Raw genomic sequence first — 14,891 nt, 5'->3', positions numbered from 1 at the left:
TTTAGTTAATACTCATGTTTTTTATTTGATTCTCTTAAACAGTTAATGAAACTGCAGTTCTCTAATTTATCTTCTCAAGTGTGGGTCGTATACACCACACATGAGTTATTTATAAATTTGTCACTTCAGTTGAAGATATAAATATGTTGGTTCATTATCCACAGAAGATTCTTTCTCTTTAAAACAAATAAGATTTTTTCCCACAAAATAGTAAAAGCTCTCATAAAAATTAATAAAAGGGAAAAAATTAACTATAATTCAGTAATTTTCCACTTTACAAACCAAATGTTTTCAATTCGTCAATTTGCCTTTTTCCCTTTTGTAGTCTCGTTTTATTTTATTAACTTGTGTGTGTGTGTGTGTGTGTCTGTGTATTTAACATCACATAATCCATGCTTCAATTTTGTCTCCATCTACCTTTATAATCTTACTTTATTCTTTGCTCACAGACTGTGCTGTAACTATTTTCAACCCGATAGAAGCACACTTAAACAGTTGAATGATGAATCTCTGCATTGAAAAACTCCATCTAATGTATTGGTCTCTAATCCCAGCTCTATGTTAAAAAAAATGTTGCTGCTGTTTAAAAATACAGATCCTTGTATGCAACCTTTAACTTTTGAAATTAAGGGCTTCTAGGGATGAGGCCTAGGCATATACATTATTTTAAAAATAAGTTTTATCTATGTGTATTATTAACAAATAAGCAAAACAAAAAAGAAGAAAAAAAATTTCCACATGTATTTTTCTTATTTAGCAAGGCCTATAATGGAAGACAGATCCTTGAAATTACAATTAACAGAATAGTATTCTTTCTGAAATAATTTTCTCAAATTCATACATTCTTAGTAATTAAAATTTTGAAAGGATGCATATTATCCGAGTAGATTGTTGTTCCCTACTTATTCATTCCCCTAAGTCACTCATAATTTCTATTTCTTTTTCCTCCTTCCCATTATATGTAAGAAGGCATTGACCACTTTCCGTATGTCCACTTTATTTTATTTTTTGGCAGGATTTTTCCTGAAAATTATTCCAAGGATGAAATTATTGGGTCAATAAATATAAAAAAATCATGACCAAAATTTAAAAACTAATCATATCAATGTTACATTTCACCAGCAGTAGATGAAATTAAAATAATCAGGACAATTTCTTAACTCTATTATGATTTGAAAATACATTGTTTTGTTTAGAGTAATTTTGTGCATGTGATAAAATATCACATCAATGTCATATATTTTGGCAGTGATCACTTATTAATGGTGTTTGATTAAGTTCAAAATATAGAAACTGAGTGGAACCATTACAGACTTTAAAAATATCATGCTCCTGTGTACCATATAGGTTAGCTAGTCATTTACTAGCAGGCCAAATATTTTTAATAGGACATTTATTTTACAACTACCAAATTTGATTCTAAATTTGAGACAACAGTATTTGTAAAATAATGTCAATGTGTTATAAGTTGATACAACTTATATTTTCATTTTCAAGTATTTTTTACAATAAAAATTATATAAGGAAATTTCATGTAACTCAAAATCAAGTAACCTACTTTTGGGGGAAAATGTTTTTGGATCTTTTTTAAATCTGTTAAGCACTTAAAATTTTTCCTATAAGCCAGGAAGATCTATCATCACAATAAAATGATAAAAATACTTTGGCATTAGTGAAAATTTTACTTTTAGTAGTGGTGAAAAGTGATATGAAATAAGTAAAAATACAAGTATATGAAAACAATTCATAACATAATCTGAATATTGTGGTTCCTGAAACCTTTCTTTAATCAATTCCCTCAGTGTTTTAATTTACTTCCTTTTGAGATCTTTTAGGGATGATCTAAAATGTTCCTTAAATCTAATTCTTTCTTAATGGCCAAGAGAAGCTATATTATTCTTAGTTTCTTGATCAAAAACAAAAGAAAAACAAGCCAATAACTTGTAACTTTATTGCAAAGAATTAAGTATGAAGTTAGTACCTGAGGACTGACTGTGTGTGTGTGTGTGTGTGTGTGTGTGTGTGTGTGTGTCTGTGGCTGTGTGTGTGCGAATTTTTTCCTTCAGATCTTTCATTTTACCATGGTTTCTCTGGCAATAAAGGGCACTAGTTTAAATGCTCTACATGATGTTCTTCCTATATCAATAGCTGTTCGTTATCACACTGGGTACTGGCAGGATTCTGGAGAGATGGCTGGTAGAGATCTCCAGAATCTAAGATAATAATGCAAGCTTGCTTGTGCGCGCGCACACACAGACACACAGCTGGATATACAGTCAAAGAGAGGACACAAGATTAAGCAGCAGATATAGAACATTGCCTGAAGTAAGGCCTTTTAGTGTGAATTAAAAAAAAATAAGCTGAAAGTAAAGAAATAATTCTATCATTCTGCTTCATGAACTATGTTAGAATAAATTCAGCGTAAAGTATCAGAGACATTCTTTTCACTGGGAACTCTGAAGGTTTGCAATGCCTAACAGGGAGGCAGGAGAAGAAATCATCAATTTTCACATTTCTTATAAAAAAATGAATTTAGACAAATTTTTCTGTTACTATTTTCTTGTAGTTTTGACAAACAGACATTGTTTCTTTACATTTACATTACTAGTGATGTTAAATGCTTTCAAAATCAACTAGTGACTGTCAACATATAAAATATTGCTGGGTTTACATTTATTTTTGTAAAATGTGTTCACGCAAGTTTTTTTTGTCTCATTTGTTACAAGAGCACAATATAATGATATAATTTTACAGAGAACATATTACCTGTTAATGCGAAACTCCTTAATGTCACAAATTAGATTCTGTTAAAATAATTAATTTGGAAGTCATTAGGCTGAAACAGTTTCAGTCGGTTGGGTTCCTATGTAAACCAAAACCCAACTCAGGGTGAACGGTCAAAGCCGAGGAAAGCAGAATTTAAGCTTAACTAATCAATAACATCTAACTAACCTCTACCTCGAGATTCTTCTCTCTAACCAATCATTTTCGTTGTCTTGCTTCTATCTGTCTATCTAGGTGTCTGTCTTTATACCTTGTAAAAGTTTCCCCCCTTGGACTTTTGGTGGAGCCCTGAACAACTTGCATTTTGGCGCTTCCCGATTCATGAATTCCTGTTTGCTTAAATAAAATCTTTAAAATTTTAATGTGCCTGGGTTATTATTTTTTAGAAATCCCTAGGACAAATGTCATTATGAGATTTATTTTTCAAAATTAAATGTTTTAAGCTTAGATCTATCTACTTATTTTTTGGACCCAATAATTCTATTCATAAGAACGATTACATTATGTCAAAATAATAAGGTGGGGGAAAAAAACTGTTTGCCTTTGGTAGCAACTTTCCCTGACACCAAATACATGGCTAAGTATTAATACGTATTTTGTGGGAAAAGGGTACACAGAATTAATATTTGGCTGATGAAAAAGTAATCGCACTTTTTGCCATTACTTCATGGCAGTGAAAAACTCCATTACTTTATGGCAAAAACTGTGATTGCTTTTTCACCAACCTAAAAATTAGAAAGCATTCCCTGACATGTGGTCCACTAGAGAGCCACAGGCAGAACTTTCTACAGCTTCACACCAACTATCAAAATAGTTCTTCATCTAACTTAACCAGGTTAAATATGAGACTGTTTCATGTTACCTAAAAAATTTGAATTACCATTGCTAGTAATCAGCAAGATGGCTTTAATGTTCTTCTCAGCTAGAATAAACTTTCGACAAGTTTCTTTTTTACTGTAGGCTCCTTGCTTTCCTTTTCTTAAATCACTTACTTCAGAAAACTTGCAAGTGTAAATGATTTCCCTGTCCCTGTGAAATGTGAGTCTTTTCCTAACCTCTTGTCAGTTTTATAACTAAGAAATGTCTTTCTCAGGGATCTGGGAGCCAAGCCTTTGGAATATAATTATCAAGAAAGATAGGGCTCCTATCTTCCGGTTTCTGTGGGAATGCAGGAGCCAACTTCAATAAACACCTATCATCAAACACAGATGGCCTGATCAAAATGATCAACCTCAAACTAACATTCTCCAGTACTTTTCTGCTAGCTCATCCCAGCACTTAAAAGCTCTCCCATTTCTCTTATAGTGGAGTTGAGTTCAATCTCTCTTTATCACTCCAATAGTCTTGACTCCCACTGCAAGACCATTGAATAACATCTTCCTTGACTGTTTAACTGATCTGAGGCAATTTTCTTTGACAGTTCTTTGATAGCCATTTTAAGTTTTGGCTAATCAAAAATTTAAGGATCTACAGGGACTGGTGAGGGTGGGGAGAAATCCCAGCTAATCTATAAGCTACTTTAATTTAGAATTCTTTTTTTTTTTTTTTTTTTTTTTTTTGAGACGGAGTCTTGCTCTTTCGCCCAGGCTGGAGTGAAGTGGTGCGATCTCAGCTCACTGCAAGCTCCGCCTCCCAGGTTCACGCCATTCTCCTGCCTCAGCCTCCAGAGTAGCTGGGACTACAGGCGCCCACCACCACGCCTGGCTAATTTTTGTATTTTTAGTAGAGACCGGGTTTCACCGTGTTAGCCAAGATGGTCTCAATCTCCTGAGCTCGTGATCCGCCCGCCTCGGTCTCCCAAGGAAATAGACTTTTAAAAGTTCTTAGTACTATCATAAATATTGGAAAGTCATTAAAAATCAGTTACTTGCTTTCTGTTTTGAAACAGTTCAGTCCCCTCTTGTTCAGATGACTAAATTTACAGGAAGCTGCAAGTAAACTAAGTTGCTGTCATTCATCCTTTTTCACTTTACTGCCAGGAAACTTGCTAAAAAGATGCCGTTAGGCCTGCTCTTTTTCTGGACATTGTCCCTTAGCGCTCTTCAGCAAGCATTTATCACTGTATCTCCACTGCCTGGCACACTCCCAGGCCCAGGCTCTCAGAAGATTCTTAACGTATATTTGTTGAATTGAACCGTTACCTAGGCTGATTTTTCTGAAATTTACATCCCGCCATGTTCTCCCCTAGATGTTCATATGTCAACCTCAGAACAAAACACCAACTTTTTAAAGCCTGCCACTCAAGACATTTTATGATTTTGCCCCTTCTTACCTGTAGAGGGTCAACTATTAATGCTTTTATACAATTCTTTCTTTTAGTATCTGCAGAGCCTAATGAAATGATTGGAATATAATAGACCCAGTTTTTATCATCATCTGTGGACTCCTTGCTGCCCTGACTCACCCACTGGACTGAACCTTCCCAGGCACTAACCAGTGTCGTTAATTCACTTCCATTTGCCACTGACTCTATGGTTAGTATATTTCAAAGCTTTTGTATGTTTCTTTAATCTTTTTCAACAGCAATGACCGAGTTAGTTCCCAAAGCCAGAAATTCGCATTCATCATCTCCCCTGGTGCCCCCTCCCCCTGTAGCAAGCACAAGTTATTGGGTCCTGTTACGCTTTGTAGATAAGCATACTTAACCTGTGGTAAAGTAAATGGGTTTTAGAGTCTAAGCGTGTATGAGTTGGAATCTTGTTATCATCCTTTACCACCTATGTGACTTCTGGCTATGTGTACTGGCTCATGCCTATAATTCCAGCACTTTGGGATGCTGAGGCAGGACTGCTTGAGTCCAGGATCAACACTAGCCTGGGCAATATAGTGAGACCCCATCTCTACAAAAAATAAAAAAATTAATTCCCCAGGCATAGTGGTGCACACCTGTAGTTCCAGCTACTTGGGAGGTTGAGGCAGGAGGATCAGTTGTGTCCAGGAAGTTGAGGCTGAGTTAAGCCATGATTGCCATTGTACTCCAGCATGGCAGAGCAAGACACTATCAAAAAAAAAAAAAACCTTGTAATACTTACATTATAATTTTGTTATGAGTTCTGAATGAGATGATGTGTGTAATATATGTAACAGTATTGTGTACAGAAAGTCTTCTGTATAACTATGAACTGCTATTATGATTACAATTATCATGTTATAATTGATTGTTTTTACACATAATTTTTATAGTTTAGCAACTTGTAATTTTTTTCTCTAGTATTGATTTTCTTTCTGGTAGTTATAATTGAACACAAATTTTGGCAAGAGTTTTTAAACCCATTTCCAATTTCCTTTAAAGAGAATTAAATCCTTCTTTAAAATTTATCCCAGCATCAACATGAACATACTTTCAAATGATGTTCTTATTGTTTACAGACTAAGTCTTCAGAAAGTGGGATATTTACATTTGATAACGATAAATAGAAATTAACAGGATTTGGCAATTTAAAGGTTTGATAAGATTGGAAATTCTTAGCATAATTCTTGAATATTTTACATATCTATAAAATTTTTATATATTAGTATATAAAAAGTCAATTGTATTCTGTAGAGCAGGCTGAAGAGATTCTAATATTACCCCTGGATCACACTAAGATCTCCCAAAATTAACAGAATCTTTTGAATGATATTGGTACATCCATGGTATCTTGAGGATTCTTTAGAAATCTACCAAATCCCCAGAAGTACCTTGCTTGTCTGGTTCTTTTACGTGAGGAGGTTTTGTTCTGAACTGATTAAAGTAGTTGTTGTGACCACATGGCTATTTGTTCACAATCCTATGCAAAATGGACAACATGCTCTCATTTAGCTTGAGAAGGAGAAAAGCAGTGGGCAGCTTTGTTAACAATAGCAGTGACACAAGATGTTGAATTGCTGTTTTCTGAGACAAAAATATGCAAAGTTAAGATAACTCCTGCTTTGAGATTGCAACTTGGCATATTTTTCTTTGAATTAAGAAAGAATAAGCTTTATTTAATGCTTCTGAAGCACATATTTGACTATTTCAGAAATTACATTTTAGAGAATCTACACATCATCTCGAACATTTGATTATTAATCTGTGAAAGATTTAATTATTGAAAAATCTGGCTAGGTGCAAAAAGTGGGTTATTATTATATTTATTTGTTCATGGCTTTACTCCTTAGAAAATAAATTGATGAACTTTATTTTGAATTCTTAGGAAAAAGAATTTATATATATCTCCAATTGGAAATTTCAGGTATGAGGTGGATATATGAACCTGGAGATGAGGTAGACCAGGTAAAAGATCTGGGATGGGGCTGGAGATATACATTTGGGAGATGTAGGCATAAAGATGGTATTTGAAATTATCACAATGGGTGAGATCACCAAGGTGGTGTGTGTGTACAGGAAAGAGAAGAGATCTAAGGACTGATTCCTAGGGCACTTCCACATTGGTAGGTCATGAGAGATTGTCAGAAACAGCAAATGAGATTGAGAATGGGCAAATAGATAGGAGGAAAAGCGAGAGATCTCAAGGATCCGAAAATTTAGAAATAAAATGAATGAAGGACAAAGGAGTAAGAACTGGTAGTTTAATTTAGCAATGAAGAGGTAATTGGCAACCTTGACAAGATCATCATGGCGCATTGTTGAGGGTAAAGTCTGATTAAAATAGTCTTAAGGGTCTGGAGTAGAACTGGAAACAGCACATGTAGACACTCAGGAGATTTTCTACAAAGGGGAACAGAGAAATAGAGGAATTGCAAATGGGAGAAGTAAAGGTAAGTGATTGTTTTTGTTTTCTTTGTTTCCCCTAAGATGGGAAAAATGACAGCATATTTATCTTTATCCAGAAAACAATAAGGCTGCACTTTTAATTTTTTTTTACAAATAAGCTCTGCTTATTTCTGGACAAAAAATGTTTTTAAATTGTACTCTATGAAAACACAATATGGGGACTCTGGACTGAAGGAGATTTCAAGTGGCTAACATAGAGCTAAAAAGGGACTTGTATTTTCTTTTATTTCTGGTAATAATATCTGTTTTCAAATTAAATTTTAGTTTTATCTGTTATTATCTTTAATAGTAGACCTTAAATTTTAAAACATGGGAATTTGTTCTTTGCTATGTAAGCCAACAATATATTGGGTATGTTGATCATTTAATTGATTGACTGGTAGCTGAGACAGAACCTAGAATTTAAAATTGATCTTTTGAAAGACTAAATCAAATTCTTACCCCAAGATAGGATAGGTTATAGCAGTGTAATTTGACAGATTAATGTGAAAAATGTATCTAGTATCAGCATTTGCTTTCCCTACTCCATTCTTTTCTCTATCTCACCTTTAAGAAGAGATCCCAAATTAGAGGTCTAAAAGGCCATCTTTAGTGTATATGTCTAATCTTTCCAAAGGCAAAGAGGATAAGCAAAGTGTTTGGAGAGTAGAGGCTGCATCTACCACTCTGGGGAAGGGTGAAATTCTCCAGGACTGGGAAGGAGACAAGCTCTTGGGGTCTTATGAGGGAAAGCAGATACTATGGTCTGAGTGTGTACCTCCAAAATTCATATGTTGAAACCAAATCACCAATGTGATGGGTATTATGAGGTGGGGCATTTGGGAGTTAATTAAATCGTAAGCCAGAGTCCTTATGAATGGGTCCTTGTAAAAAAAAGGCCACAGAGAATTGCTTTGCTCCCTCTACCACGTGTGGACACAGCTAGAAGGCACCGTCTATAAACCACAAGGCAGCCCTCACCAGACACCAAACCTGCCAATGCCTTGACCCTTTATTTATTTCCCAGCCTCCAGAACAGTGAGAATGCATTTCTGTTGTTCCTTATCTATGTAGTCTATGATATTTTGTTATAGCAGCCCCAAATAACTAAGAAAACAGAGAACTATACATACATTATCACAATATCCCAGAAAGACAGAGCCCTAATTATGGATAATGACTGCCTGATATACCTAGTTAAGTGGGACCATTGGCAGCAGAGCTATCATACTAGATAAGAATCCCCTTAACCAAGTTTGGGGTTTAAATTAGAGATATGTTAAACTACAAGGCAGAATTTTAAAATATCTTAAACAAATAGCTGTTTATTTTTCTGACATAGCATTTAGTTCACAGGTTTTTGGCATTGTCTCAGCCATTTAGCAATGTCATTAAGGACATGGGCTCTTGCTGTCTCTCTATTCTGCCAACCATAACATGCTGGCTTTTTATATTTTTGTTTTTCATATGGCATCTGTATCTTCAGCCTTACATTGTTGTTCACAAAAGCAGAATAGGAAAGTACCCAGGTTGAAAAGCAATACCAGCGACCTTTTACTTTCAAATCATTGTCGAGACTGCATCACATAGATTACCCAACCCATAGAGGCTGGTAAATTCAGTCTTTAGTGTTGATAGTCTTTTATGTTGGAGAAAAGCAAAAGAGAACGAGGTAGAAAATAAAGGTTGGGTCATGCAGCCTATAGCTTCTGTTGCACTTGGTATGTTAACTTCCTTAAGAAATGTCAAGTTGAAATACAAGCATTTCTGCAGCCAACAGTGAGAACAAAAGACCAGGGATCCTTCATTTTCTGAACTGTGTAAGACTCTGGAATCTTCATATCTCAGAGGCAAAAAAGGAGGAATATTTCAACAATGACTGTAGTTGAATTTCATGTCACAGTGGCAGAGAAATGCATAGAGTTAGATTTAATTTTGTTGTCAAAATGTAGTCACATGATACCGGTTGCATTTAATTTATGGAGTAAAGATAAAAACCACACTCTTATATTATACTTCTAATAAGGATTCTGATTACCTGGAATAACAACCACAAAACATAATCAGTTACTGATATTTTAATTCATAATGAAGAAGGAAGTAAAGAAATATCTAGGAATTTTCACAGAGGTATTTCGATATCTGTTTATTTTATTAGCATACTGATTGTATTAGTCAGGGTTCCATAGAGGGACAGAACTAATGGAACAGATATATATAGATAAAGGGGAGCTTAATAAGAATTAACTCACACAATCACAAGGTCCCACAATAGGCCATCTGCAGGCTGAGGAGTAAGGAGAGCCAGTCTGAGTTCCAAAACTGAAGAAGTTGGACTCCAATGTTTGAGGGCAGGAAGCATCTAGCACAAGAGAAAGATGTAGGCTGGGAAGTTAGGCCTCTTTTCACATTTTTCTTCCTGCTTATATTCTAGCCACAGTGGCAGTTGATTAGATTGTGCCCACCCAGATTAAGGGTGGGTCTGCCTTTCCCAGCCCACTGACTCAAATGTTAATCTCCTTTGGCAACACCCTCAGTGACACCCCCAGGATCAATACTATGTATCCTTCAATCCAATCAAGTTGACACTCAGTATTAACCATCACAAGTACACCCCTTGTCAGCTTGAACCCATACACATCTCCTGAGATCATACATAATCTTCAAATAAAGACAATAATAAGGTCTTATTGAGACAGCCTGGTGGGAGGAGGTTCCTGGAGAAACTCCAACCAGCCTGCCCACTGAGGTGGAGCCTCAGGAAGTTCACGCCCTTTGCAGTGGGGAGGAGCCTGGCCCCGCCTTTTCCTGTGTGAAATCTAGTATTTGAATGATGGGTGAGAAGTGCTCTAGCAGGGGATCATTTTTTTCCCTTTTCACCCAATAAACCCTACTTTACTCACACTTTAAATCGTCTGCAAGCCTAAATGTGTGTGGCTGTGGGACAGACAAGAACCCTGTCTTTAGCTAAACTAAGGAAAAGTCCTGCAACATTTTTGGCGCCGAACATGGGGCTCAAGAAGCAGTGAGTGAAATGGGGACTCAAAACCTCTCACTGTTGCTTCTGAGCCTTTTTATCCTCGGACTTCTTAGGGTAGGGGAAACCATGCCCCCAGCCCCATCGCTCCTGGGCCTTTTCAAGGCCTTTTCCTTCCTTTTTTGCGACCCACTGATGATCAGCAACTCCCTGACACACTCCCCACTCCCTGCCACACTCCCTGCTCGTTGCTGGGACTGGGACGCATGGCCCAAGGATTCTGGACAGCTGGCTGGCTGGTTCCCAGCCACAAGCTGCTGCAGCCTTCCCCTTCCCCAACCAAGGGTTTTTATTCCATTGGACAGTAATTAAGCTTAAGATTTTCTCCCTGGTGGAGGAACCACTTGAATAAGAATAAGAGGTTTCTCTTCAGGCATTTTTAAACTGTTTCTTTTCTTTCCCCTTTTCTACCCCATTAGCAAGTTAACTTTTAAAGTTTTTTTCTTTTAGAAGATATTTTACTAGGCTAGCCCCCGCCCACCCCCCCCCACCCTGCCCCAACTATCACTGTGCAACTATTACTCTGAAAAATTTTGGTTGTAAAATCAAGTTTCCATCTTGCTTTACACCCTGAGGGCATGGCTGGTTACTGCTTGGCAAGGCTTTGTTTAGCAATCTTGCCTGAGAGGATGAGCCCTCTCAGGTTTGATATTTGCATATTTTTCTAGCCTGTCTCAAAGGGCCCCACCTAGTGACTGGGTTTTCTTCTGCCTGTCCATCTGTGTACTGTATGTAATGTCTGTCAAAAGAGTTCTAATTAATTTTGCCTAAAGAAAGACAAGTTCTTGGATCAAATATTTTTTAAAGGGATTATAAAATCTGTGGTAGCTTTCAGTTTATGTGACTTTAATCTTTGAGAAATAAAAACAGCCTTAAAGATTATTGGTAAAATGCAAGTCAGATGCAAGGTTTTCTAAGTGTTTTAAGGTTCCAAACTGCTTTATGGGTTTTCTGAACTATTTCACTTGCTGGCTTTAGAGTTGGTAAGGCCTAGGGACATATGGAACTAACCAGAATCTTAACTAAGAAGGCAAACCTTGGCTGCAGTTAATGCACAATTAAAGCAACTTACCAAGTTTTACCTTAAAGTCAACAATTGGTAGAAGTTACTATTATAACATGTAATTGAAACTACTGAAAATAAATTTAAATGCAAAAGGTATAAAAACAATAAAATGTGTTTTTATGTAGAAGGTTATAAGAAGGCATGGAAATGTAAACTTTTGCCCAGGGTTAAAGGATTGTATTCAGTTAGATAGGGAAAGCTAAAGGTTCAAACAAGTGGTGGAAAAGCTGTGGAAATTAATCTTGCAGAATATGTTCTCTGTGTAAACATATTAATTAAATTCAAAAGGGTTATAAAAGGTTTTTGCTTGTTTAAAATTTCTGAATCATCATTTTGGCAAAACAAATTATTTATTATTAGAATCTGGAATTCTATTTCATAATATCAAGTGTCTTAAACCTCAAACATTTAATAGCATTCCCCAAATCAAACTTCCATTTTAAAATTGTCTTCCCTGGCAGCTGGCTTTTCAAATACTTCAGAGTGCCCCTGAAGTGTCCAGAAAAAATAGGTAAACAGGATTATTTGACATGTTTAGGTACATGGGATTGCCAAAATGATGCTCAATCTTCTTTAGGTTTTTGGTGAATAATGCTAATATATGTACCAAATTGTATGGGATATCTAAAATTCTAATGTCTAAGTATATGCTACCAATCATAAATAAGGTTTTTATGTTAAGTTACTGCAAACCACGGAGATAACCAAACTTCTTTGTCAATTGTGTTTCTAAGTATAACTAACCTTGACATTTTGCTATTCACAGACAATTGTTGTCTTGCTTTAATCCTTTTCAAAAGACGGTTTATAAGAGCTATAGAACTTTAACAGGTGCTCTCAAATGCAGACTTCTGATAACTTTAGAGATCGTAACATTAGAATAAAGGAAAATGTACAGAATTCATAAAGAGCTGAAATGCTTATGAATATAATGCATAACAAGAGTTGACTAAATGGATTGCACTCAGAAAGCTGAAGCAACCTTTTTGACTTCTGCTTGGAATATTGCTGATCCATGTTTTGTTTTTCAGAGTCAAGGAAACTTATTTTAAACTATCTACAGCCTTTAATAATTAAGTACTCCTGTGATCAAAATTTGGAGCACATTTGTTTCTCTCTGCCTAGTTCCTCTAGAATTTGTAAACTATCTGTAAGTATTCTTATGGCAATATAGTTGTTTGCATCAGTGCAATAAGACTCAATTTTTCTTTTGCAACAGGACACAATTGGATAAGGTTATTTTATCAAGACTTTAACTGGAAGGGTATGTTTCCCTTTAAGGAGTCAAGCTTGACTTTCAGGGCCCATAAAAACCCCGTGGGGAAACTGGCCTCATAACTCTTGTCTACACAGTCCCTGTAGAGGGTTCCTGACCTGTGGTCAGTAAAGAATGCCACTTTCTAACAGGTCCAGGAGCTCCAAATTTATCTTGGGACCTTAAGAAGAGGGGATCACCTAACCCACAGGTATTTGAGGATGGAAATCCGTGGCTGGACTGGGCTTTAAAAGGTCTTATCTGTGATTCCTTGTGGAACACACTTCCATCAAAGCCAATCCAAGAGGCCTGTGTAGAAATAATTATTCTTTTTGCACTTTATGCAAATAAACAGGCCAAGTATAAGACCAAAGTCTATTTAAACAACTCAGTGCTATGATCATTTGTTTCTTGGAGCTCCCTAGACCTCATTTATGCCATGGATACTAACGTGGCCTTTATCCATGCAATAGGAAGCTTGGGGTTGGAATAAGTAGGGACTAAATGGAATGCCCATCATGTGAAGGTTTCCTTTTTTGGGAAAGTAAGACCAAGGGAACTAACCAAATCCAAGAACCATGCATCCAAATCCTAGCAAGCATAACTATAGCTACCAGTTAGCTGGGTGTGTCACACAACATCCTTTCCTCTCCCTTGTTGGAGGAAAAATCAGTTCCACAGTTTTACCTTAGCATTTGGCTTATGATAAGGAGTCCATGCAACCCTCCCAGAGACACATTTTTGTCCCAGACTCAATTCTAAGCTTTGGGTCAAAGCCCTGGAAAGAAAACTGGATCTAATGGCTCCAGAGGCAGATGGCAATGGAGGTTAAAAGGCACAGCACAGGTGACCATGGCAGATTCCTGCTGATTAAGCCAAACCCAAGCTTCCTGTTTCATGGATAAAGACCATGTCAGTATCCATGGCATACATGAGGTCTAGGGAACTCCAATGCTACTGACAGTAGGAGGGATAGATGCATAGGTGAGAGTGGGCAATTCCCATTCTCTAGGCACTCCCTGATTCATGGGTGCAAGCCGCTTTGGCACTCATGGTGGTGCCTGCCAAAGTTGCTGGGTCTCTGGGATGCAAGGATGGAAGAGGAAAAGAGGGACACTTCCTTCTCTCTCTCATGTACCCCGGGTATCTGCTAGGAAGAGAAGGGAACCAGGGATGTCTGCTCCCCTCTTTCTAGGTGGGTGGCCATTCGTCTTCAGTGTGTACCCCTTCCAAATGCATCCTGAACTGCTGGGACTTCTTTGAAAAGCACCTTCTTTTCCCTGTCTCCTCCTCAGTCCTCTCTTCAGTTAGGTAATTTTGTCTTTGTACTATGAGACACTTCCCTCAGATGCATCCTCCAAAAGGGAAAGAGTTAATTTCCCAAACCTTAAGCTGATTGGCTTAGGATCAGGTTCAGGGGAAGGTAACCCAGAAACCCAATATGATGGCAAAAGGGTAAAGTTTTTATTTTGCCAGTCAGGCTTTTGGCCTCCCTCTCCCTGTGCAAACTGGTAAACGGCCTTGGAATTTTTGAGCTGTCCTTACCCCTCCCCTTGTTTCATTTTGATACATGTTTTCTAATAACCCTGTTTGTCTGTTCTTGCCTTCAGGCCATCAAACTCCAAACAATCATGCAACCAGAGCCTCTAATGATGGCCCCTTCTGCCAGGAACCTTTAAATTTCCTCTGAGGGAGCTCTGACTGTTGTTTCTCAACAACTGCACCCCCTGTCAGCAGGAAGCAGTTAAGATCATCTTCCTCCTTACCTTGAATCTACCAGCGGTTACATGTACTTCTTTAGAGGGGTGAATGAGAGCCAGGTGGGAGGGGGTCCCTGGAGAAATTCCAGTCAGTCTGCCCATTGAGGTGGAGCCTTGGGAAGTTCATGCCCTTTGCAGTGGGGAGGGGCCTGGCCCCACCTCTTCCTATGTGGAACCCAGTATTCAAATAGCAGCAGGAAGCTCTCTAGCAGGGGACTCTGAAACAGGAGGATGCCTGTCCCCCCTCCTCCTTT

At 37.3% G+C, this 14,891-nt stretch overlaps 1 long non-coding RNA gene across 3 annotated transcripts; it reads left to right on the top strand.

Annotated features, from left to right (window-relative positions):
- The first annotated feature begins 5,016 nt into the window (after positions 1–5,016).
- Positions 5,017–14,668, top strand: LOC105369843 (uncharacterized). Of its 3 annotated transcripts, XR_945101.4 has the most exons (5): positions 5,017–5,258; positions 12,842–12,886; positions 13,030–13,088; positions 14,073–14,188; positions 14,488–14,668. It is a non-coding gene; the product is annotated as an uncharacterized LOC105369843 (long non-coding RNA). The 3 variants fall into 3 exon arrangements; XR_945102.3 differs by lacking the exon at positions 13,030–13,088; XR_945100.4 differs by lacking the exons at positions 12,842–12,886; positions 13,030–13,088 and adding an exon at positions 12,654–12,772.
- The last annotated feature ends 223 nt before the right edge of the window (positions 14,669–14,891 follow it).

This window comes from Homo sapiens, chromosome 12, assembly GCF_000001405.40.
Source record: "Homo sapiens chromosome 12, GRCh38.p14 Primary Assembly".
Lineage (NCBI taxonomy): Eukaryota > Metazoa > Chordata > Mammalia > Primates > Hominidae > Homo > Homo sapiens.
The sequence above is the reverse complement of the archived record's forward strand: the minus strand, read 5'-3'. Positions and strand labels throughout refer to the sequence as shown.